General features: G+C 48.7%; 1 protein-coding gene across 15 annotated transcripts in view, besides 2 other annotated features; it reads right to left on the bottom strand.

Annotated features, from left to right (window-relative positions):
• Window positions 210-720: an enhancer, noted in NCBI's record as "NANOG-H3K27ac-H3K4me1 hESC enhancer chr2:29275821-29276331 (GRCh37/hg19 assembly coordinates)". NCBI's record gives its function as "activates a minimal SCP1, AML or CMV promoter by ChIP-STARR-seq in primed H9 embryonic stem cells {active_cell/tissue: H9 hESC(primed)}" and the evidence as "EXISTENCE:reporter gene assay evidence [ECO:0000049][PMID:30033119]".
• Window positions 1,445-25,325, bottom strand: part of TOGARAM2 (TOG array regulator of axonemal microtubules 2) — a 95,713-nt gene continuing 71,832 nt past the window's right edge. For 7 of the 15 annotated variants that reach the window (XM_047443568.1, XM_047443570.1, XM_047443574.1 and 4 more), the window contains 6 exons: window positions 20,624-20,741; window positions 20,112-20,206; window positions 18,019-18,211; window positions 16,918-17,134; window positions 8,265-8,351; window positions 1,445-1,919 (listed from right to left, as the gene is read on the bottom strand). In XM_047443568.1, the coding sequence (XP_047299524.1) occupies window positions 1,582-1,919; window positions 8,265-8,351; window positions 16,918-17,134; window positions 18,019-18,211; window positions 20,112-20,206; window positions 20,624-20,741 (1,048 nt within the window). In that variant the 3' untranslated portion in view covers window positions 1,445-1,581. Of the gene's footprint in view, window positions 1,920-5,839; window positions 7,029-8,264; window positions 8,352-16,917; window positions 17,135-18,018; window positions 18,212-20,111; window positions 20,207-20,623; window positions 21,463-25,325 lie in introns of those variants that run through there. The other 8 variants (XM_047443566.1, XM_047443569.1, XM_047443567.1 and 5 more) reach the window with 6 other exon arrangements.
• Window positions 11,139-11,760: an enhancer, noted in NCBI's record as "H3K27ac-H3K4me1 hESC enhancer chr2:29264781-29265402 (GRCh37/hg19 assembly coordinates)". NCBI's record gives its function as "activates a minimal SCP1, AML or CMV promoter by ChIP-STARR-seq in primed H9 embryonic stem cells {active_cell/tissue: H9 hESC(primed)}" and the evidence as "EXISTENCE:reporter gene assay evidence [ECO:0000049][PMID:30033119]".

Raw genomic sequence — 25,325 nt, 5'->3', positions numbered from 1 at the left:
AATGCAATTCATTAAATTGTTCAACACTTAAAACATTTACTGTCAGCCTCTTGGGCATTTTTGGATGGCTGCCTGTCTAGCAGGCCTTTAACCTGGTTCAATCAGAATCAACAAAGAGCTAGATGGTCGCAGGGAAGCCCCTGCTGGGGTCACAATCAGGTGAGAAGCAGCTCACTGGGCTAGAATTACCCAAAGTCACTCTTAAGCCGCCTATGACAAGCCCAAGGCCCGGGATGACTCGCAGGCCCAACCTCACCCCAGGGCGTAAGGAGGGGCCGGACTAACTACACCTGCCACAGAGGCAAGATGGGAAAGTGGCTTCCTCAGCCTGGTGGGGTATGGAAATACATAAGTGAGTAGATTCGGGGCTTTCCAGAGCCAGACTCCCCAGGAGAGGCTCAGAACAGGGATGTGGAATGGATGTTAGGCCTGGGGGGCAGATGACAGTGGAAAGAGGTTCCACTGGGGAAGGGCAGGGGAGGGGGGTGTCTGCCAGAAAACTTGCTGGCATGAGGCTGGGCCCTCAGGGCCTCGGTCGTCTGGATCTGCCCCAGCACGTGGCTGCAGGCTGGGCTCCCCTGCAAGAGCTGGGATGCTGCCTCTTCAGCCTTTGCCTTACCAGGCCTGCCTTGCCTGTGCATTTGAGGTCATGGCCTTAGCTCTAACTCTTTCTGGTCACACAGTTGTTAACCTGCCACTGGCCCCAGCCAAGGCAGAGCCACTCCTACCTAAAGTGTCCAGAGCCTGAGCCCCAGACTTCCCTCTCCACTGCCGGGACTTCATTTCACTGGCTGTTCCCCCAGGGGCCAACACCTTCCCTGCTTCCACAAGTCCTGGCCCGTGCTGTGCCCACTCGCCCCTCCAGCCTTGTGATGTGGCCCACAATTGCAGCCTGTGCAGTTTCAGAGACTCGGCAGCATCTGCACACTGGTAGCACTTTACGCTCCACATGCATCTCCATTTAGGGTGTTTCAATGGCAAAGCATTGTCTAGTCCTCTTCAGAACTAGCCAGAACTCCAACTTCTAGAGAAGGCTTTTAGTGATGCAAATCTCAAATTCCCCTTGTCTTTTGATAAGCTGGGCCGATCAGAAGGTTCCCACAGGACCAACAGACACGTGCTGCAGCTTTTGCAGGGCAGAAGCACGATGTCCCTGAACACGTTTGTTACACTCACCTCCAATCAGGCCCATAACAAATGGACTGGATTCGATGACCAACTCAGGCTGCGGGTTTCAGGAGGGCTTGCCCAGCAGCTCACAGATGGGCAACTATCGTCTCGAGCGGGCTGCAGCTTGCAGGGCTGTGCTACCCTTTTTCTTCCTAACTCTTTGTCTCAACATTGTCTGCAACTGGTTTTGCTGCTGTCACATTTCATTTCGTTCATCACAAACCTAGTTACTGGAAAATTCTCTGTGATTAAAAAAGTACAAGATAATAAAACCTTAGAAAAATAAGTAATTCTTTTATTTCTACTTCAAAATATACCATGTACATCTGGAACTCTAAGGGGGAAAGTAACCAGGAGAATAGTCCATCAAAAAAATAAGATAAATAATAATTGCCCATTTCAGATCCATCTTTAATCCAGCTGAAAAGGGTATGAGCTGCCAGTTGTCTTGCTGTCAGGGGCCACCCCTCTGTCAGTGGCCTTGCGGCTGCCTCCCAAGGACTCTGAGTCTAAGAGTTCCTGGAGCGTCTTGAGGACGTGCTTTGGCTGGCTGGCGGCAAAGTCCAGCAGGCGGGAGCCCATGTGCTCCTGGAGGCTCCTGGACAGCCGGCACACCACCCCGCGGATGTTCCCGCTGGGTCCAGGCAGGGTGCCATTCCTGGTGGCGGTGTTCAGGAAGTGCCAGAGGATGGGAAGGACATGCCGCTCTACAGCTTGAGGCTTCCGGGGGTAAACTGAGGCCACCAGCACTGTCAGGCAGAAAAGGAGAGTCACTTGAGCCAGGCACTCTCTCCCTCTCCCACTTCCCTCTCTTGGGACACCAACTTTGTCCCCCAAAGGGCTGGCAGCCCAGCAGGCACAGCAACTAAGGATCATGACACATTTAGCAGCCTATGAAAATGTGTTAGCTTCTTTTAACATTAGTAGAAAATATATGAATATGTCCAACCTGGTTTATATCTGTGCTTATACCAACCAGTCAGAAACTATAATTTTTAAATATTTTTTATGGAGAAAGGGGCACGCAAAGGCAGAAATATGCAGAATCTCTGACAATCATAATGGTTCCTCCAGCCCAGGGAACAGGAAAGAGGCAGGCACGCCTGGTTACAATCCTGCCCCCATCAACTGTGTCAGCATGAGGAAGCCACCCGACCTTTCTGAGCCTTTTCCAAACCCATAAAGTAAGGATAAAAATGCTGAACCAACCTCTCCAGATTGTTAGAAATTCGATAATATACATAAAGTGCCTACCTGTAGGCAGGCAGGTGACAAATAGTAACTATAGTAATACTGCATTTATCCACATCACCACCTATGGAAGTCCACACAAATACAGAGAAAAACTACTGGGGAGGGAAATCAAGACCCTCTCACATGAAGCATGCTGGCAGACAAGACAGCTGGCAGGGGAGAAGCCTAGCACAGCCTCCCCGGTGCCCGGATGCCAAACCTCAGGACGAGACCAGCAGCAGAGGCATGAACGTGCTTGTGAACCAGCAAGCTCTGCACAGACCATTCCAGTGATAAGCCCCCATATCTGGTTTCCCAAGGCCCCCAACCCTCTCTAAACCCCGGAAAACCCAGAAGCCAGCTGAATCTGCCAACCAGCTCTTCATCACCTGAGTAAATGCCAGGGCTGTGGCCACATTAAAACCACATCAAGGGCTCTCCTGGGTCCCCAGAGGGGCTGCTCAGGCCTTCAGCTGTGGCCGCATTATCCTAAGCGCATTAGCACTATCGAAGCTGGCTTTGCGATTCACATGCTCTGCCTGTCATCCAGCCGAAGGATAAGTGCTGGGGCAGGCAAACAACACTAACAGCAGCGCTTTATTGATTCTGTGGGCCGGGAATTCTGTGGAAAACAGTTTCCATATCCTGGAAACTGCCTGAGCCCAGGGCTCAGAGCTTCACATCACAGCTCCATTTCATGCTCACAGCACCCCTGAGAGGCAGGATGCTTGTCCGTTTTCCAGAGGAGGAAAGCAAGACTCAAATCAAGGCAAAGGGCAAAGCAGAGGACAAAGGCCTAATCTGCCTGGACTCCAAAGTCCACACTCTTTCTACCGCATGCTGTCCCCAAATTTCTAGGGATTCCATATTTCAGAGGTGATCTGGAGCTTTATTTTTTGTTTTATTTATTTATTGAGACAGTGTCTTGCTCTGTCACCCAGGCTGGAGTAGAGTGGCACGATCACGGTTCACTGCAGTCTCGACCTCCTAGGCTCAAGTAATTCTCCTGCCTCAGCCTCCCCAGTAGCTGGGACCACAGGCATGCGCCTCCACGCTCAGTTATTTTTTTAAAAATTTTTTTTGTAGAGATGGGGGTCTCATTATGTTACCCAGGCTGGTCTTGAACTCCTGGTCTTAAGCAATCTGCCCATCTTGACCTCCCAAAGTGCTGGGATCATAGGTGAGCCACCTTGTTTTATTTTTCATGAAACTGCAATTTGTCCTTCCTTCATCAGGACCACATCATCTAATCCCCTAGGATACCTTCCCCTTAGAGCCCCACGGGTCCCTCTGATTTCAAAGCCAGCCTGGAATAAGGAGGAACCAGGGAAGATGCCCTGGGCCACCCTCTGGTCAGCCTGACACTCTCTTGGTGACATTTATCAAGGAATGTTGGCTTTGAGGCTGCACCCTTGGGGCTCTTGCAGGGAACCTCCGAGGGTCACAGGATCCTCAGAGGTGAAGGTGGTCCTGATAACTGGAAGGGCAGGACTGCACCTTTTGGGTCACCCCAGCATTCCCCAGGAAAGGATCCTGGGGTAAAGGGCTTGGAGGAGCTTTCTAAAGTGGAGCAAAGAGGTACACTGGTTGGAAAGAGTTGAGAGTTCTATTCCTTGTGCTTGAAACAGGCTGAGTAGGAAGAGAACAGGTGACAAGAAAGCAGTCCCTGTCAGCCCCAGGGTGGGAGATGAGGGGAAACTAGAAGGGGGACAGTGAGAGGGAACCAAAAGAAAACGAATGACCCTGAGTAGCCGCCTACACTGAATAACGATAACTCAAAAGTATCCTGAATCCCTATGGAATGCAAAAATAGGTGAGAACACAGAGATTTCTATGCCCGTGTTTATACCAACCTTTTTCACAATCGCCAAAAGGCAGAAGCAGCCCAGTGTCCATTGAGGAATGGATAAACAAAATGTGGTATATACATTTAATGGAATGTTTTTCAGCCTTCAAAAGGAAGGGAATTCTGGCCAGGTGCTGTGGTTCATGACTATAATCCCAGCACTGTGGGGGTCCCAGGTGGGTGGATCACTTGAGGTCAAGAGTTCAAGACCAGCCTGGCCAACATGGCAAAACCCTGTCTCTACTAAAACTACAAAAATCGGGCCAGGCGCAGTGGCTCACGCCTGTAATCCCAGCACTTTGGGAGGCCAAGGCGGGTGGATCACGAGGTCAGGAGTTCAAGACCAGCCTGGCCAACATGGAGAAACCCCATCTCTACTAAAAAAAAAAAAAAAATACAAAAATTAGCTGGGCATAGTGGTGCGTGACTGTAATCCCAGCTACTTGGGAGGCTGAGGAAGGAGAATTGCTTGAACCGGGACCAGGGAGGCAGGGGTAGCAGTGAGCTGAGATCGCGCCACTACACCCCAGCCTGGGCAACAAAGCAAGACTCTGTCTAAAAAAAAAAAAAAAAAAAAAAATTAGCTGGGTGTTGTGGTGGGCGCCTGTAATCCCAGTTACTTGGGAGCCTGAAGCATGAGAATGGCTTGACCCTAGGAGACAGAGGTTGCAGTGAGCTGAGATCTCATCACTGCACTCCAGCCTGGGTGACAGAACGAGAATCTCTCTGAAAAAAAAAAAAAAAAAAGGAAGGAAATTCTGACACCCGCTACAACATGGATAAATCTTGAGGACATTCTGCTGTGTGAATTAAGCCAGACACAAAAAGACAAACTGTACAGTTCCATTTATATGACATACCTAGAATAGCCAAAATCGTAGAGACAGAAAGTAGTTGGTGGTTGCCAGGGACTGGGGAAGGGAGGAATGGGGAGCTAGTGCCTAATGGGGACGTAGTTTCTGTTTTGCAAGGTAACAGTTCGGAAGATGACTGCAAAAATCATGGACACTACCACTGAACTGTACAACTAAAAATGGTTAAGGTGGTACATTTTATGTTGTGTATTTTAACACAATTCTTTTAATGGGGGGTGATATAGTTTGGCTGTGTCCCCACCCAAATCTCATCTTGAATTGTAGCTCCCACAATTCCTACGTGTCATGGGAGGGAGCCGGTAGGAAGTAATTGAATCATGGGGGCAGGTCTTTCCGGTGTACTTCTTGTGATAGTAAGTCTCATGAGATCTGATGGTTTTAAAAGGTTATAAGGGGGAATTTTCCTGCACAAATTCTGTCTTCCTTGCCACCATGTAAGATGAGTGGCATGATTGTGAGGCCTCCCCAGCAACATGGAACTGTTCGTCCATTAAACCTCTTTTTCTTTATAAATTACCCAGTCTCGGATATGTCTTTATCAGCAGCATGAGAACAGGCTAATACAGCAGGGAAAAGTGAGAACTATCTCAAGAGCCAAACCCAGGCACGCACCCTCCACCCCCACCCCCACCAAAGGCTGGGGGGGCTCTACCTGCCCCCCAACAGAGCCTCCTTCCCCATCCTGCTACATTTTATCCACTCTTGCTCCTTGAATTCTCTTCCACAGAGTGAGGCGTGTTTACACTTCAGCCCCCAGGAAGCTCACTCCACAGGAAGAGTAGCAGTCCCCACCCAAACTCAATTCCACAGCCCAGGCCACCTTCTCTGATCACGTCTTGGCTAATAGAACTCAGGCTACTTCAGAGCCACATTCCCCAGGTGCAAGGATGTGGCAGTCGCCTGGCTGGCAGGTGTTGACTCTTAAGCTGGCAAAGATGGTGAGGCCCTTCTGGGGGCCAGCATGCGGGAGCAAGCCCCATTAAACTCAAGCTTAGAAGCAGCTGAAGTAATTAGCAGAAGATTTACTCCTATTAAGCTGTGCTATTATTAGGCCTCGCCTGTGTCAATAAAAATTTTCTTCTGTGTTCCTGGTGGACACAGAGTTAACAGAAGACCTATGGAGAAGCTCTTCTTTTGAGGTCTCTTGGAAATAGACAAGAAAAAATTACAGTAAGTGGATAAGGTGAAGATACTTGCCCACCTCTGGGCCCCGTAAATTACCCAGACAAGGACAGGTAAACCTTTCATGCAGAAAATGCTGACTTTGAGCAATGGCAAAGGGTTCCTTGTCTGGTGTCTAGGACCATCTTACTTACATACCCTGTTCTCCCCCAGCTCACCTGCAGCCAGCCCTGCCTCACTCGCACCTGCCTTCCCGTAAGGTAAGAGGCCACTCCAGGAATGCTGGAAGGACAGAACCTGCATAGAGGCAAGGCCAGGCGCAAGAGATGGGGCAGGGGAGAAGCTGAAAGGGCAGCTGGTGCCAAGGTCCTCAGCCATGCAGCATGTGCCAGGCCCCTCTCTGGATGCTCACAGCTGGGCTAGGAGGGGAGGGCAGTAGACAGACCAGTGATACCATGTGGGATGCAGTCTTGAGAAGCACACAGGGAGAAGGTAATGCCAGAGCCAAGCAGGCATCCCCCAGGTAGAGGAAGAAGAATGGAGAAGGCTTTCCGGGCAGGGCAGCCACAAGTGGGCAGAGCAAGAAGTTGAGAGACCGGCCACTGCATGCAGGCACCCAGGAGGCAGAGTGCCAGGGGGAAGCAGCACAGCACAGGGTTGGGGTCTTGGCCCTTCAGCCAGGCTCCCAGGACACATCCTGGGCTCCTCACCAAGAGACCTTGTGCATTTCACTTTTCTGAGCTCCATTCTCCTTTTCTCCACCAAGTGGAATCTACATCCTCCTGTGGGGTGGTCATGAGGATTCAATGAGCATAGAGCTGGGGTGGGAGGAAGGCGGCACATCCTAGAGCAGCAGTGACAGCTGTGGGCCACTCCAGGGGGCCTGGACACTATCCTGAAGACAGCTCAGGAGTCTCACAAAGATTAAAGCAGGGCTGGTGCATGATCTGTCTGCATTTCAGGGGGACCATCGGGAGTCTAGGGAACAGAGTCCCTCTGCCCCCCTCCCTAGATGGGACCTTCCCAAGGCAGGGGAGGAGGCTTTGTGCAAGCAAAAATGATCATGAAACCAAGATAAGTAACCTGCCCAAGGTCAGGGCTGGTGGTGGCAGATGGGTGTGTGGACACCAAAGCCTGTGTCCTTTCTGTGTTGCCACCTCAAGGACCACAAGAACAGATTTCAGCCCTGGAATGAAGTCACTTGGACTTCTCCTGCAGACTCAAAGCAGAAACAGGATTGGAGCAACCCTTCACCAGCTGAAGCTTGAGCAAGGCTGAGTAGACTCAGGCTAAGGCCCCGTCTCCACATAATACAGTCCCAGCACTGGCCAAGGGGTCCTGAGGGGTTGAAACCCAGCTGGTGCCTGCTTGCCAGGCTGCACATGCTAAAGTTGTACATGGCAACTTTTTCTAATTCTCTTGATGGTGCTGTCAACTGACCAAGCCATATGCACCCACTAGGCATGGTCTGTCTGAAAAAGGAGGCTTTTTTCTGACTCACACAAAGGTACTCTATAGGCTAGAAGCAGCCTTGTTTGCAAGGAGGAAGAAACGCACACAGGTTGAGTGTCCCTTATCTAAAATGTTTGGTACCAGAAGTACTTCGGCTTTTTTTCTGATTTTGGAATATTTTCATGATACCAGTTCTGCATCCCTAATCCAAAAATCTGAAATCGGAAATGCCCCAATGTACATTTTCTTTTAATGTCATGTCAGCGCTCAAAAAGTTTCAGGTTTTGGAGCATTTCTAATTTTCTGATTAGGGAGATTCAACCTGTAACAGTTTTTTAAAAACACTTTTGCTTTTGTACAAACCTACTTCATTTTGATCAAAAACAAAGATTGTCTTCTGGCAATATGGAGATTGTCACACACAAAAAAAGCAGATTTTCAAAATTTTAAATGATTGGGGGGGATTATTTCAGGTCTAAGATAACTGGGTGAATGGTTCAACCACAGACCAGGAGAGAACAGAAATCTGCCAGGAGATGGGGTGGGGTGGGGCTGGGGGTGCTCACCTGCCAGGCGATCTGTGACATCCAGCACCGCACGGCCACTCAGGAAACGCACTCGCCCAGCAAGCGCTGGTAGAAGGCAAAGGTTGTCTGAAAGAGAAGGGGGATGTCAGTGGCCACACTGCTGGGGGCTGAGTGACAGCACTAGGGGTTTGCAGGGCCACATACCCACAGTACCTGCAAGGGGATGAGGCCTTTGGGGGAGCTGAATTAATTTTTCCAGGTCACAAAGGGGCCACTTAAAGTGAATGTATGTAGCGTGTTTGGGAAAGAATCAGTGGCCTGAAAGAGTTAAACTGGCTCCCAAACAGGCCTCATTTATTCCCACAGATCTGGTTCATATTGCCTGTGCGTCTCAAAATTGACAGGAGTTTTGGGGCAAAGCAAAGTAGACAGGTAGGTAGGTAGGTAGATAGATGACAGAAGATGGATGGATGGATGGATGATGGAGAGAAGATGTTGGAGGATGGATAGATAGAAGATAGATAATAGAGATGGATGGATGGATATACAGATATGTTTTAGGGGAAACAGAATCACTGAGCCATGATTACACAAAGGTCAGTGAAGGGTTAGGATTAAAATTCAGAAAGTATAGCTCTTCTCAAAGCCTGAATTTGTGCTCTACCCACCAAGATGTACCCACAGCTGGTGGTGGTTCATTTCTACACTGAACACATACTGATATCATCTATGTAACAGGCATAGAGCTAGGAGCCAAGTAAAACCCAGTACTCCCATCCCCCTCAAGAGGCTCCTCTGACAAGCAGACAGACGCTTAGACATGAACCCTGACACCAGGTGAGAAGCACTGTGCTCTTGTAACCAAAAGCCTGCAGGTCTGAGGCCAGGGTGACTGACTGGTCCTGGTGGGCCCGGGCTCTCCCCATTTCAGCACTGTCAGTCCCGAGTCCCGGGAACCCAGGATGCTTGGTCATCCTATCCAGAGCAGAAGCACCCGGCTGGCTCTGGCAGGGTCAGAGGAGGGAGTTTGTGGGCTGAGGAGCACATATTATCATCAATGGTTTATATATGACCTCACTGCCCTGGCCTGATTTTCTCCTTACTTGTAAACTCCAGGTGGTCTGAGTCTCAGACCCAGCATGAATGTACTTGCAAAGATGGCTGAGTTTATCGTCTATATGCCCCAATATGCCTTTCGGGAGGTTTGGGAAAAGAGGTGTTTTAAACCTTTTTGAAAAAATTGTCCCAGTGTGCCCGCCCCCAATCCCAGCTCCACCAACCATCCAGCCACACCCAGCTGCGAGGCGCAGCTCCCTGGCTGCCCAGCCATGCCCATGGGTAAAGTTCTGGGGACTGAGCACCACCCCATTTGTATCTTGAAAGAACTGAAATAGTATGAGTGTTTATTACAGAGATGAGCCACTAATGGTGAAAACACAAGCAAATGGGGTGGGGACATTTCCGGAATAAATTGGCTGTCTGGCTCCTTCATATTCCCGAAGTCGACTGCAGCAGGACTCCGTATCTACTGAATTTAGAAGCTGCTTGTTCCTCTCCATTCTAGCTGACACCTCCTGGTTTCTCAAACTATTAAACTTGAAGAGATGCATTTCTCACAAAGACACACAACGTGAGAAAAATGGGCCTGTCCTAGAAAGGTGTGCTAAGCTGAGAAATACACACCATCATCAGAACCTTCTCCTTGTGGACTGCAGAGAAACCAGCATGCCAAGCTCCCAGCATTTTGCAACCACACTAGTCACAACTTAATTCAGTAGGAAGTTGGGCAAGTAACAAAATGCATTTTTCAGAGATGTGGCTTTGTGTCTTGCCTGCACCTGTCAGGTAGGTGAGGGCAGGTGGCCTATGTGGTGTTACCACAGCAGCCCAGCACGTGTATCCTGGGACCCAGGAGCTGACCTTCTCCAGGCCAGACTTCTCTTTACAGGGGACAGAGTTTTTAGAGTTCTGCACGAGGAAGTCTTTCCAGTCTCACTTTTTCCAAGTTCCTTCAATACCTCAGCACAGAGCCCCTGCATTCCTGGAGAGGGGCACTCAGTGCTTTGTTTTTCTCATCAGGCACAAGTTTATCTAAGAGCTCATCCCTGCTTCCCTTGCTGTCCTCCTGAGGGATACAGAGGAGAAAATGTACCCAGGTACATCTCTGCTGTTTGCAAAAGCTCCATCCGCAAATCAAGCGGCTTTAAAATAATTTGCCCTGGGAGATAAATGAGATGCCAGCTTCTAGAATATAGTAATTAGCAAGATAAGGTCTCGGGGTGCATTGGTAAAGCTGTCAATTGCGTTAAGAATAGATTTTCATATGAATGGCACCTGTTTGTTTCCAGGTGTTTCTATTTGTCCCACCCCATCATTTACCTGGGCTCAGATTTGAAGACAAGGACTTCTTCCTCCGTCACCTCCCACAATGCTCAGCCTAGAACATTCTCTAATGTAAGGAACATGGCTGTGCTTTGGTCAAGGATAGGCCAAGGTAAACATCCAGAGTGACTCAGCAAGTTTAGAGCACAGACGTATAACTCCACTTGTTATCACAGTCGTAACATGGGAAGGCCATGCCTTGGCCCTGTGCCACTATGGTCTGTAAAAGGCATAATTGCCCTGCTGACACTGTGCAGGCTTGTGTGTGCCCAGAGAGAGAGTGAAGCTACTGCCCCCTGTAAGAGAGAATGCCCGTCTGGCAGTCGGACACGGAGCTAGGAAACGGCTTGTGCCCAGAGGGAAAGAGTTAAGCTGCTGACCCTGAAGGCAAGGGAGAGCCGGCGCAGCTGTGTGTGGGAGCCAACAGACTAAGCAGCTGAGACAGGGCAGATGGTGTGAGAGTAAGCTGCTGCAGAGAGCTGCTGCTGAATAAAATCATCTTTCACCTGCCTGTAGCCCCCCCGAGTGTTCTTTCTGCTCATCCACCCACTCCCTTCAGACCTCAGCATGAGCTGGAACCTGACCCTAGACACATCTAGACCTGACATCTAGACACAGCAGGGGCTCCCGCCTCTGGCCCCAAACATCCCCTCTCCCCAGAGCCAGAAAGAAGTGAATTTGGGGAACACTTAAAAATGCATATCCAGCAGAGACCTGTGCCAGACCATGCTCCCACGGTGCACAGCACACTGCAGGTGCTGAATAAATGCTTGTAGCTGCAGGGCAATGTCAAAACAAGACACAGTGTGCCTGGGCTGGTTTATGAACCCCAGAGCACTATGCCCAGGCATTTGGCCTGTCTTTCCGCTGGCCACTTTTAGAGTGAAGGCTCACCTTTCAGGTTACCTCCAGGTTCAATAAGACACACTAAAGCATAGCAGTTGTAAGAGCTCTGAATACAGATTGCCTGGGTTTGAATCCTGGTTCTTCCATATTTTACTGTGGAACATTGGACAAGCCACTTATCTGCTCTATGACTCAGTTTACCCAACTATAAAATGGGGATGATACTAATAGCTTTCTCATAAAGTTGCTGTAAGGGTTCAATGAATAAACAGTGCTTAGGATAATGCCTACAGCATATAATTACTATGCAAGTATCAGCTATTATTGTTACTATTATTACCTTAAAACTCTGAGAGCCCAGCAACCACAATGGTAGAGAGACCAATGAAGAGGCTAGAATCTAATTTTTAAAAGCTGAAAATCTACACTCCATTAGCCTAACCTGGTGCTTTCCTAGGCTCCTTTTCTGCCTCACAAGGAGGCAAAGACTGGCCTTGAATTGGAGAGAAAACAGCCACTAGCCGCAGCCCAGAGACTGTCCTTCCTAGGCTCAGACTCCCCTCTCTACAATGAGGTGGAGGTCTAAGGGGCCTTACACCTGTCCCATTCAGCCAAGCCCTGAGGCTACCAGGCCACATCATCCTCCAGCTACTGGGAAGCCAGATAAGAGCTTTTAAGAAAGCGTAGAAAACATGGTAGCAAGGAAACTGGAGTCGGACTGGAGTCCCCTAAATAAGCACAAGACTTGGTAAGTTATGACGCGCTGGTTTTACCAGATTCACCATGGCTACCAGCACTAGGGATGTTCATCTAAAGAAAAAACTGTGACTGATTCACTTGCACAGAAACATGCAAGTTATGATGCAGTCACGTGATGGAGCTGTTAAAAGTGACTCAAGGCCGGGCGCAATGGCTCACACCTGTCATCCCAGCACTTTGGGAGGCCGAGGTGAGCAGATCACCTGAGGTCAGGAGTTTGAGACTAGCCTGGCCAACATGGTGAAACCCCATCTCTACTAAAAGACAAAAATTGGCCGGGTGTGGTGACATGCACCTGTAATCCCAGCTACTCGGGAGGCTGAGGCAGAAGCATCGCTTGAGCCCAGGAGGCGGAGGTTGCAGTGCGCCCAGATTGTGCCACTGCACTCCAGCCTGGGTGACAGAGCCAGACTCCATCTCAAAAAAAAAAAAAAAAAGTGACTCAAGAGTATAATCATCTGCAAATGCTTATGCTATGATTTTTTTAAAAGCAGGATGCGAATCCAAATGTATAACACCACAACTGCTGTGCTGAACCCCTATTAACCCCTATTAATAGGAAGGGTATCTGGTTCAAGAGGCCAAAAAAGAGACTCAAAGCCAACAAACGAGACACGGGGTTTTATTAGGGGCTTACCTACAGGGGAGAGAGTCTAGTGGCAGCAGGCTGAATGGGAGAGCCTTATGGCGCAGTGGCGGAGGGCTGGGCAGGAAAATCGCAACTGCCTGCAAACAGCATGCAATTTACATAGCACTTTCACTTAACACCTTCCACCTGGCAACCTTCATTTACCCCAAAATTCAGGGCCTCAATCCCCTGTATGGCTCATGTTCCAAGGGAAGGTCGGGAGCTCAGATGTGCCTCATAAACAAGGAATGAATCTCCAAGTTGGCCACTCCCAGATACCCTAGCTCAGAACACACACTCATTGTGTCTGCCATTCAGGATCATTCTAAGGGGATGCTAAAGTTATTGCTATCAGGTGGATTTACCCTACAACAACCATGTACACAAATGTGCACAGGAAAAAACTCAAAAAAATGCCAAATGTTAATAATGGTTTCTCTGAAGAGTTGGGACTATGAGTGAGGGATTTTTTTCCCCTTTCAAATGCTTTGTATCTTCATTTATTCAAAATAAGTATGACTTCTTTACAGTGGTAGAAGTGAACTTTCGGTTTTCTAATTAACTAGAAAGACTGCCCAGTAGCATGTGAAACTGGGTAGTGTTAAATGAAAGAAGCAAAATCAAAACTATATTTACATTATGATTTTTAACAAGGGAAATTTGTATATAGACAAAAATAGAAGAGATATTTTTAAGCAGTTGGTATATTGGAGGAGCACCATGGATGCATTTTTAAATTCCATTAACATTATAATGTTGATATGATTTATATAAGGTAATAAATTTAAAGTCAGAGAGCAAAATAGCAAAAGTAGACCTGAAGCCACCCGCATTCCAAGCTTATCTGCCCTCTCCAGTACTGACCAGGGGCTGGAGTAAATTAAGAAAGTTCCTTTTGGCACAGAGAAGCTTGAATGCTGAGGTCTGATCGGGAGGGGATGAGCTGTCAGCAGCCTGATGTTTTCATTAGCGAAGTTTCTTCTGTAACTAACCCAATAAGAGCCCAAAGACAGAGCCAACCAGTTCTACTCAGGAACTTCCTTGATCCCAGAATAATTCCCCTGAAATCAGAAGGTCTTGGTGCTGAGTAGGAAGAATGCCACTTGAGCCCCAATCCCAGAGAGGCCTCAAGGCTGGCAGTGAGAGATGGCAGAGGTCAGGGAGCAAGCTGCAAACATGTCTCATTCCTTACTACCTCCCATGAAAAGGACATGGGCAGAAATCCCCACCTGCTCTGCCAACCAATACTCCATTCAACCCCACCCAGCCTGGGGAAACCAAGGGATTAGAAGCGATGATACTGGCTTCTTTATCACTGAATTCTAGAATTAGTGAGTTCTAGAAGGTCCCCCCAAGAAGGCCATCCTCCCGACTTGGCTGTGCCATCTGGACTTTATGCCAGAAGGCATCCTAGCTTGGCATTATTCTTGATCCCCTTGACCTCCAGTTTAGCAGGAAATAAACAGTAACCTGCTGAGCTGTTGCTTTGTGACTTTCCACATTTAAATATTTCACAGCATTCAACAGTCGTCTCCAGCCTGGAGCCCAGAATTTCTTATGGAGCATGAAGAAGGAGGTTTGGGGAAAAGCTCCTTCCCATCAAAGAAACTGGATCATGTCCGATCCAAGCCACTTCCAAGAGGGGCCTCAGGTGTTAAAGGTCCCCCAAGAAACCACTAGAACCACCAGGCTCAGCTTGGGTGATTTGGGAAGACTTCATACCCCTTCTCTTCCGTCCGATTTGATGCACTCTCTGCTGCTATCACCCAATCCCCTGGGACAGCGGGAAATTTAGTTACTTCCATCTGCAGGCCAGGCTCAGACCATGACAGGCAGATAAGAACCATTCCCAGAGGCAGATTCTACCCTAGGTACTCCCTGGCAATGAGTCCCCCTTGTTGGTAACCTACTCCCTCCAGTTCTGACCTACATGGATGTGGAAATCAGCTGGTCACTTCAAAGTTAGGAACACTTTCAAAACCTGTTTTGCTGGCTGGGCTAAGAGGGTATGGCTTGCAGCAAAGCCATCAGGCCCAGATAGCCCATGCTTCACCTGCTCAAAAATTACCTGGATCCAAAACAGCATATTTGGCCTGACACGGTGGCTCACACCTGTAATCCCAGCACTTTGGGAGGCCGAGGCAGATGGATCGCCTGAGGTCAGGAGTTCAAGACCAGCCTGGCCAACATACTGAAACCCCATCTCTACTAAAAATACAAAAAATTAGCCAGGCGTGGTGGCACACACCTGTAATCCCAGCTACTTAGGAGGCAGAGATTGCAATGAGCTGAGATCATGCCATTGCATTCCAGCCTGGGTAACAACAGCAAAAATTCCATCTCGAAAAAACAAAAACAAAAACAAAAACCAGTATATTTTACCCTTTGGGCTCCACCTGAGCCTTTTGCCAGGGATTTACTGGACTCCATTCATCCCTTTGAGGGCCACACCATTCCATTCCAGCCTAAGCCCTGACCTATGGATTAGAGAGGAAGAGAGCCAACCCTTCCCATTGCACCAAAGCCTCTGGATGATGAACCAGAGGGTACATTATCAGCCGTACCCAAGGAGGCCCTGTCCCAGAAGGGAGAACATAGGCATCTTCCTAGTAGCTACAATCCTGCTACCAGGTGAGTTCAGATCACAAAAGCAGGCCACCCCCAGGCTCTCCTTTCCAGGATGCCCAGTCTAGTAGGGGTACAACAGGGCCCCAAATAAGAGGGACCTGAATCTTGTGACAGTATGAGACACTAGATTTTTTGCCCAAAGCGCCACAATTCCAGAGCTCAAGGAGGCTGGCCTGATGGCAAAAAGTGGAAACTAAAACACCTGGAGGGGGAAGAGTTAAAAATTCCTCTCCCTAGACAAGGGTACTTATCCTCTTCAAATAGCTAAAGCCTATTTTGCTTGGTACAGGTTTTCCCAATAAATCCAAGGCCCATGGTGATTTACCAAGAGCCTTGGTTATTGGCAAGAGCAATCTCACTTACCCAGAGCAATGCTGAGAACAAGCCGTAATTTAGAGCTGGATTTATATTGTTTGTTCTACAGCAACAAACTCAGCAAATCATAAATTCCCTCTGAGATGAAGAGTGGAAATTGACAATATTTATGAACTCAAGAGGCAGAGAGGGACCTGACCAGGCCTTTGATTTGTAACTGAAACTTTTCCTGGAGCCTCCAGCCAAGGACACGGTGCCTGTCCCAGCCCCAGGGAGCTGGGCTCAGGCCAGGAAGTGGGGTGGGGTCGGGGGGAGGGGGACAGCAAGTGTATCAGGAGGGGTGTCCAGCCTCTCTAAAGGATGGTCTTTGGATGCTAAAGGCAAGACGTTGCTCTATGCTCATGAGGACACACAGCAACAAGGCAAACACAGGTGGTTTTCAGACCATGGCTTCCTCGTACTGAAGCAAGGCTTGTTTGGGAAAGCTCGTCCTTGTACTGGGCTGGCCATAAGTCTACTCATGTGCTACTTTCTCCACACACCTAAAGTTTGGAATTTGCACTTTGGTCCACGTACTGGGTACACCAAACATCACCTTTTAGCATCCATGAGAGGAATAAGAAAACACAAGCAGATGCACCAACATTTCCCTTAACGTTCCAGAAGCAAGATGTCATACCTAGAAGCTCTCACCTTTCCTGATGGCTCTTCCATAGCTCCCACCGTTTTTTCTTCTATCCTTTTTCCCCTCCCTCCACTTTCCCTCCCTGCCCATCACCACAAACCCCACGCCAAGCCCCAGCCCAGCTTAAGCCTTCCCAGCACTCCTGACTCACCCACTGGGGTGCTTTGTGACCCTGGGGGGTCATTTCCCTCATGTGTCTATGAGGAGGCTGGACTGGATCATCTCCACATCACCTCCACTTCCAGCCGTCCAGAGGTGTGGGTGGCTGTGACATAGAAAAGCCCACTGGCCAAGAGCCTTGGAGGCCCTGGGCTCCACCTCTGCCCTACACAGCCTCTGGTGAAACATCTGGCCTGGGAACCAACCAAGGCCTTATCCACCTTGCAGATTTCCAAGCAGGAGGGTGGACATGGTGACCAGAGCCACACAGGCCCACGTGGGACACTCACCCAGGCTCTCAACCATCGCATCCAGCACAGCCACGGCAGCAGCGTAAATCCCTGAGTTCTTGGAGTTGAGGTTGTCTGCAACAGTGATGATGATGGAGAGCAGCATGGGGTGTAAGCTCTCTCTGAGGAGGGGGATCATCTTGGCGAAGGACTCCAGCGCCCACTGGTTCACTTTCTTGTTGGAATCCTGAAGCCTTGGGGTGAAAGCATCAAAGACCTATTGAAGAAACAGAAACCAAGAGCCCATGGGAACCCAGGCTGGGCAGGACTCCCACAGTGCAGGCAGCTTGGAGCTCACCTGGCCCAACTGAGCGACCTCAGCAGAGACTCCTCCTGCGTCCCTGACCTATGCCACAGCACTCTCAAAAATGAAGAGCTCACCTCAAAAGGGTGGGAAGAGGGGAGGAACCAACAGGTATTGAGCACTCATTGCATGCCAAGTGTCCAGGGCGTCTTGTTAGTTGCTGTGCAATCATTTTTACTGAATGATCTTAACAACCCATGGAGCACATTTTCACCCCCACTTTCCCATAAACAACAACAACTGGGGCTCCAAGAGGTTCAATGATTTGCCTGAGATCACACAGCTAGTAAGAAGCTTGGATGGAAACCCAGGTCTGCTGACTCTGAGCTGTGTCTTTGCTCAGCTGTGTAACTGACTGTCAGCAGCCTCAGTCCACCAAGAAGCAGGCACCCACCTGAGTGTTCAGCCTATGAAGGGCTTGTACCTACTCCTAACACACCTGTCCAGCCATCACAGCCAAGTCACCTGTCCAGCCACATGCTCTGCCCCCAAACATGATGCACCTAGCTCCCCAGAAGCAACCCAAGGCCTCACCACAGTATCCTCCACCTCTACCTCCTACCCTCCTCACTGTAAATCTGCTAGAAGGACAAGAGACATCTCTGAGCATTTCCAAGCTGCCGGCAGGAGGCGGTGCCCTTGCCCACTCAGCCACTTCCAGGTAGTCTCCATGTTACAAAGGCCAACTGCATAGCAAGGGGTCTGACACATGTCCAACGCCATTCAGAGTTTTCAAACTTCAAGTTGCACCCCCCAGAGGAGAGACAGGTGGGAGAGTAAAAGCAAGCGGTGCTCACCTGGACCAGGTGGGCAGTGACAAGCTCCGTCTTGGCCTTGCAGAGCTCCAGGAGCTGCCCCACGCCTTCCATCCGGGACCGGAAGTCCTTGGCCTCCAGCAGCCGTGTCAGCTCCCGTAGCTGCTCCACCATCTCCCCGCGGCCCTGCAGTGTGGAGCGCAGCCCCACCAGCCTTGGGCCATTGCAGCTGAGCCTAGGTAAGGAGCGTGGCGTCTGAACCCCCCAGGGAAGAGCCCGGGGGAATGAACCCACTTCTGGTCCCATGCCACCTCCTACAGGCAGGTGGGGCAGAGACAAGAGTGTCACCTGCAGGTTAGTCCACCCCCAGCTTCCCCTCCACCTACAGCTTGTTGCCCAGGGCTCCATCCCCTTGTCAGGGGCCAGGGCTCTCTCTTCCTACCTTTTTCTCTTTTCAGAAGATATGTAAGCAATGGGGGAAGTCAGAGTGAGGAAGTGGCTATCCACAAAAGAATGACTGGTACACATTTTTTTTTTTTTTTTTTTTTGAGGCAGAGTCTCGCTCTTGCTGCCCAGGCTAGAGTTTAATGGCCCAATCTCAGCTCACTGCAACCTCCACCTCCTGGGTTCAAACGATTCTCCTGCCTCGGCCTCCCAAGTAGCTTGTATTACAGGCATGTGTCACCATGCCCGGCTAATTTTTGTATGTTTAGTAGAGACAGGGTTTCAGTATGTTGGCCAGGCCGGTCTCAAACTCCTGACCTCATGATCCACCCACCTTGGCCTCCCAAAGTGCTGGAATTATAAGTGTGAGCCACTGCACCTGGCCAACTGGTGCACATTTAATGTAAGAGTGGGGAAAGACCTTGGAGGTCATCACAGCCAACCTTCTGCCCAGCTCCTATATCCTGATCCCTGGCTGGCTAGGCTCTGCTCACACTCCCCCAGCAACTGGGGACATTGTAAAAAGCCCCATTTTCTTACACTGGGATCACATGCCCATCACAGCCCCCTAGCCCCTTCCAGCCAGCATAAGAACAGCTCTGTGCAGAACTACTGTCTCCCACCTTCAGCTCCAAGCCTGGGTCACTGGCTCATGCCCTACACCCAGGTCCCATCCAGCAGAGCCCACTGTCCCTCATTCTGTGATTCACTCCTGCATTCCACACTCATTGTCTACTGAGAGCCAAGAGCTGTGCTGGGCACTGAGAACCGTGAGATGAGAGCACAGCCTTTGCCGTTAGGAGCTCACAGACCAAGGGAAGATAGATACATCAACGGGGCTGACAGAGGTATGAAGAACAGGCCAGCCTGTCACCCTGAGGACATGAGGACACAGAGTGGTAGAGCTTCCTGGAGAAAGTGACAGGTGAGCTGAATCTTGCAGAACCAATAGACATGTTCTAGGTGCAGATGGTGTCTAGGATAAGCAAAGGCACAGCAGGGAGAGAGGATGTGGAGGGGCATGAATACCAGCTGCTCTCATGTTTTGCTTATCCCAGGTGCTGCTCTGGTCAGGCCGAGACAGGAAGAGTGGGAGAGTAGGCAGGAAGTTACCTTTGAAGAAGTGGGCATGGGGCTTCCCTAGTGCCCTGCTAAGGAGTTCAGATGGGATCAGCCCAGGACATTACAGAAGGGCTTCAGTTTTAAGCACAGGCGTGACCATCAGACTCCTGCTTGGTTTCTAACTGCTCCCAGCAACCCCACACCCCCTCCTCCCAGCCCCTCAGTCCATGTCTTCTCATCTGCCTTAGTTCAGGCTGGGCCTCTGAACTAGTCCCAGGCTGGCCACTCTGGTGGTTAAAGGATCTGCTGGTCTAAGCGAACGAGGAAACACTGAGCTCACACAGAGAGTCCAACCACCGATGCTAGTGGAACCCCGCCCACTCAGCTGGGACTGCAGGAACCAACTTCTACTGGCAGATGCTCCCAAGCCCAGGATTTGGTCTCCCTGGGATTTGGGTTGGGGGGAACACATCCTGCAAATTCATCTATTAGTATTGCAGCCCCAACTAGGTCTCAGCGATACCCCAGATCCATATGTCCACCCCAGAGCCACCCCTGGCCATGGACAAGCAGGATGCCTCTGTCAGAAGTCTTAGATGTGAAGCCCAGAGATACAGGAGCAGCCATACCCCTCCTTGATGGGCAGCCCGTTCTCACACACCACCAGACTCCTCAACACCTTGCGGCCTTTGGCAGAGGGAAGTTCATCATTATCTTCTATTCCCTTGAAAAAATACACACAGAGCATGAGCCAAAAGGAGTGGCCCTCCAGGGAAATGCCAGACATTCCAGTGGAGACATAACAATGGCAATAATCCCTTCCACCTAGGAGAGCTTCAGATGTCACAGTTGAGCCTTCCAGAGCCCTGAAAGCAGCTGGGGCAGAGATCAAGATCCCTGGTTAACAGATGAAGGCATGGAGGCCCAGGGAGGCTCAAGGAACATGGGTAGTGTGAGGTTAGAACCAGGTGTGAGCACAGAGGACAGAAATCACATCTATCTCACCTATCAGGAGTAGTGGATGAAATCAACATCTCTGGAATCCACTCCCCACTCCCCTGACCCACATGAAGGCTACCAGGCTCAGCACTGTCACCCCCACCCCCAAAAGGCCATGACCCACTTATGCCCCACAGCTCACCTGCTGTTTAATGGCCGCCATGACCTTCTGCAAGTCGTAAGATGGGAGAGATTGCTTCAGAAATGCATCAAACTTAGTGTTCGCCATCAAGATATTCACCATCTTCCGGCCATAAAATCTGCCACAGGAGAGAGAGCAAGATAAAGAAACAGCCTCTGAAATGCAAAATAAATTTGCTTTACAGCTTTACATAATCTTCCTAATTAAAGAGAGTTTTTAATACTTTTTCTAATTACAAAAGCAATCCCTACCCAGTTAAAAAATAGATTAATAAAATAAACATCATCTATAATCCCATTACCAAGAGAAAATCCCTATTAAATTTTTACATATTTTCCTATAGTCTTTTTTCTGTGGCATTTACTTTCTAGTTGATATCAGAATGTATATACAAGTTGTATTCAGCTTTTTCACTTTATCATTCATTAATCATCTTCCCAAGTCCCTTAAAACTCTCCATAAACATCCTTTTTAATGGCTACAAAATATTCCGTTGAATGGCTATACCAAAGTGTACTCAATTTTGTTCTAATATGGAACATTTAGAAGTCCCAGAAAGGGTAAAGCGGGACAATATAGGAGGGTGTAGTCAATCTACCTGATGAACAGTGGTGGCAGGTGAGGGAATCAAGGAGGGCTTCATAGAAGAGGTGACCCTTGCGTTGGGGCTCAACAGATAAGTAGGAGTTCACAAGTTGGGTGGGATTTGGGATACGTCGGAGGAACAGGGTTATTTAGGTCTATAACACAGTGTGACATGTCAGCAGGGGGATATATTGGAGAATAGTGAGCAGAGGTTGGACACAGGAAGCAGACAGGCCAGAGGAGAACACAGGACCCTGTTTAGGGAGACATGAAGGAGTTAGGCTTCAGTTTGCATGCAATAGGAAGCTGAAGAATGATTCAATTTGTACATCAGTCAAAATGTCTCTAGCAGCAGTGTGGAGGATGGATTGGTGGAGACAAGGCTAGGGGCCAGGAGACTTATTAGGAGGCCACCATAATAGTCCAGGAAAAAGATGGTGCAGGCCTGAAATCAGGCAGTACAGTGAGGATAAGGAAGCACAGTCAGATCCAAGAGCTGCTGAGAAGATGGAAACCACAGGATTTGGTAGCTGGTGGGAAGTGAAGCAGGAAGCATCTAAAATCTTAAATCATATTTCATTCAAACTTAAGACTCCATTAATTGTAAAAGGTGCCCTTACTTTATTTTCCACTAAGGAAAATCAGAAAAATAAAAACTGGTGATTTCCATAGCCTCCAATGACACTGCCCCATGTGTGAGGGCAATCTTTCTATGTGCTATCTCAGAAACAGAAGATAGCATTGCTTGTCGGTATTTTTCTTCCTTAGGTCAGGTAAAGTTCTTAGTGATTGCTTTGCAAAAAATGTGGGACTTGGTCATTCCTTCCACAGTGAGAGTTTGCTTCATTGATATCTAATGGATATCCACTGACGTTGCCATGCCTTTTCTCATATACAATAATTATTCATTTCAATTGCAAATAATAGTGTAATATTTCTAAGAAACTTTAAACAGATTAAACTCAATGATTCTCCAGAGAGCATCCAAAAATCACTTCTGAAAATAAATTTAAAAATTTACAAAGAAAGGCTCATAGTGTAGTTCCTACAATGGAAAATTTAATTCAGAAAATAATACTCTGAGCAACACTGACTAAGTTTGTGAAGGTGCAGATAGTATAACTACATCATAAACTGGGCACAGTGGTGCACACCTATTGTCTCAGCTATTTGGGAGGCTGAGTCAGGAGGATTACATGAGCCCAGGAGTTCAAGGCTGTAGTGTGCAATGATCACACCTGTGAATAGCCACTGCACTCCAACCTGGGCAACATAGCAAGACCCCATCTCTTAAAACTACAAAAACACCTATGTCCTAATCACTGCCTAGCCCAACTGAAGCCCAACAGCAACTGTGAAATGCCTGTCATTGTAAGATACATGCCAATTTTAAAAATATTAAAACCAGGGAAGGATGTGTGTCTTGAAATCAATGAAGTATGGGAGTCCCCATTGTGCCTCTTGGGTGGCTCAGTAAATAACAGTCACTTTTAATGATAGAGAGAACACAGAGAGGCAGACTTGGAGAGGAGGCAATGAGTTCATTTAGGGACACTCAGCACTGCAGATGGCAGTAGGACATCAGATGGTGGGTCCCATGGAGGCTTTAGAAATGGGGACTGATGCTCGAAGAAGGGTCTGGAGTGGAGGGCAAGAATTGAGAAGCCTCCAACTTTGCTGGTGGCTGGAGCCACCAGAAGTAAAAGCCAGGAGAGGGAGATGAGGACTAAAGACACCTTGGCAGCACCTACACTCAGGTGGCAGTCAGGGGCAGAATGGTCACAGAGGGACAAGGAGAATCCCCGGAGTACAGTGCCATGGAAACCAGGAAGGACAGAGTTCTAGGAAGGAAAAGGAAATGTAGTCACCATCATCTAGTGTAAGGGATGGGTCAGAATGGAGAGGAGTAGCAGATCTGGAGAGACTTTAGACCTTGATTTCCATCCCTCTAACAACCATTTAAAACCAACAAGCAAACCAAAACCTTCTACGTCCTTTTTTTTTTCGTTGCATGGCAGAGTTACACAACACTTTATTATATAGTAGATGCTCTAGTAGATGCTACACAAAGAATAGCTGTTTATAGACATTTCATCCCATTCTTCCAGTCCCCCTAAACTCACTCTTCAAAGTATTTGCTCCAAGTTTAATGGCTATGTGATTTGTGATTTTTTTATTTATTTATTTTTTTGAGACAGGGTCTCACCCTGTTGCCCAGGCGGGAGTGTAATGGCCCTATTTCAGCTCACCGCAACCAGTGCCTCCTGGCCTCAAGCGATCCTCTTATCTCAGCCTCTCAAGTAGCTGGGACCACAGGCACGTGCTACCATGCCCGGCTAATATTTTGGTATTTTTTGTAGAGACAGGATTTCACTGTGTTGCCCAGGCTGATCTCAAACTCCTGGGCTTAAGAGATCCACCTGCCTTGGGTTCCCAAAGTGCTGGAATTACAGATGTGAGCCACTGCACCCAGCCAGGCAATGTTTTGTTTGCCTGTTTTTGTTTTAATTTTTTATTTCCATAGGTCATTGGGGAACAGGTGGTGGTTGGTTCCATGAGTAAGTTCTTTAGTAGTGATTCGTGAGATTTTGGTGCACCCATCACCCGAGCAGTATACATTGAACCCTATTTGCAGCCTTTCATCCCTCACCCCCTTGCCACTAGTTCCTCCTGAGTCCCTAAAGTCCATTATGTCATTCTTTTTTTTTTTTTAGACAGAGCCTTGTTCTGTCGCCCAGGCTGGAGTGCAGTGGCGCGATCTCGGTTCACTGCAAGCTCCGCCTCCCGGGTTCACGCCATTCTCCTGCCTCAGCCTCCTGAGTAGCTGGGACTACAGGCACCCGCCACCACACCTGGCTAATTTTTTGTATTTTTAGTAGAGACGGGGTTTCACCGTATTAGCCAGGATGGTCTCGATCTCCTGACCTTGTGATCTGCCAGCCTCGGCCTCCCAAAGTGCTGGGATTACAGGCGTGAGCCACCGCACCCGGCCCATTATGTCATTCTTATGCCCTTGCATCCTCATAGCTTAGCTCCCACTTATGAGTGACAACATACGATGTTTGGTTTTCCATTCCTGAGTTATTTCACTTAGAGTAATAGTCTCCAATCTCATCCAGGTCACTGCAAATGCCATTAATTCATTCCTATTTATGACTAAGTATTCCAGTGTGTGTGTGTGTGTGTGTGTGTGTGTGTGTGTATACACACATACATACATACATATCACAGTTTCTTTAGCCACTCGTTGATTGATGATGAGGCATTTGGGCTGTTTTCGCATTTTTGCAGCTGAGAATTGTGCTGCTATAAACATGCGTGAACAAGTATCTTTTTCATATGATGATACCCAATGGATACCCAGTAGTGGGATTGCAGGATCGAATGGTAGTTCTACCTTTACTTCTTTAAGGAATCTCCACACTGTTTTCCACAGTGGCTGTGCTAGTTTGCATTCCCACCAGCAGTGTAGAAGTGTTCCCTTTCACCACATCCACGCCAACATCTATTATTTTTTGGTTTTTTGATTATGGCCATTCTTGCAGGAGTAAGCAAAACCTTCCACTTCTCCACTGATATTCCTCATTTCAGCAAATGGCACTATTATTCACCATTGTTCAGGGTAAAAACTTAAGAGCATCTTCAGTTCGTCTTTGAAACCCTTACCACCTGCATCCTGTTGGCTCTGCCATCCTGTTGGCTGTTGGCCGAAGCCACCCACCACTCTCCAGTCTGAGCCTCCAGCCCCTCTTGCCTGGACTGTGGGGCAGCCATCATCTGCTGTTCCTCCTGCCTTTCTCTCTCACTACCAGTCCTGCGGCAGCCAGAGAGGCTTTTTTTTTTAATTATAAAGGCTAACACGCATGTAAAGAAACACTCAAACTCATTATTAATAAGCAGGGGGTCAAAGCACTCTAAAACAATGATGAGCTATCATTTTTACCCATTAGATGGATAAAAATTAGAAATCTAGAAATTGCCACATGCTGAGAGGCTGTGCAGGAGGGAGGCAGATGTGGACCCCAGGCAGGGCGGGGCTGCTGGAGCACACACATGCATCTGACCCACGGTCCTGCTCCTGGGCACGTCCGAGGAGGTGCCATGCAGCACAGTTTGC

This window comes from Homo sapiens, chromosome 2 (assembly GCF_000001405.40).
Source record: "Homo sapiens chromosome 2, GRCh38.p14 Primary Assembly".
Classification (NCBI taxonomy): domain Eukaryota; kingdom Metazoa; phylum Chordata; class Mammalia; order Primates; family Hominidae; genus Homo; species Homo sapiens.
Note: the sequence above shows the minus strand (reverse complement) of the source record. Positions and strands in the feature narration are given on the sequence as shown.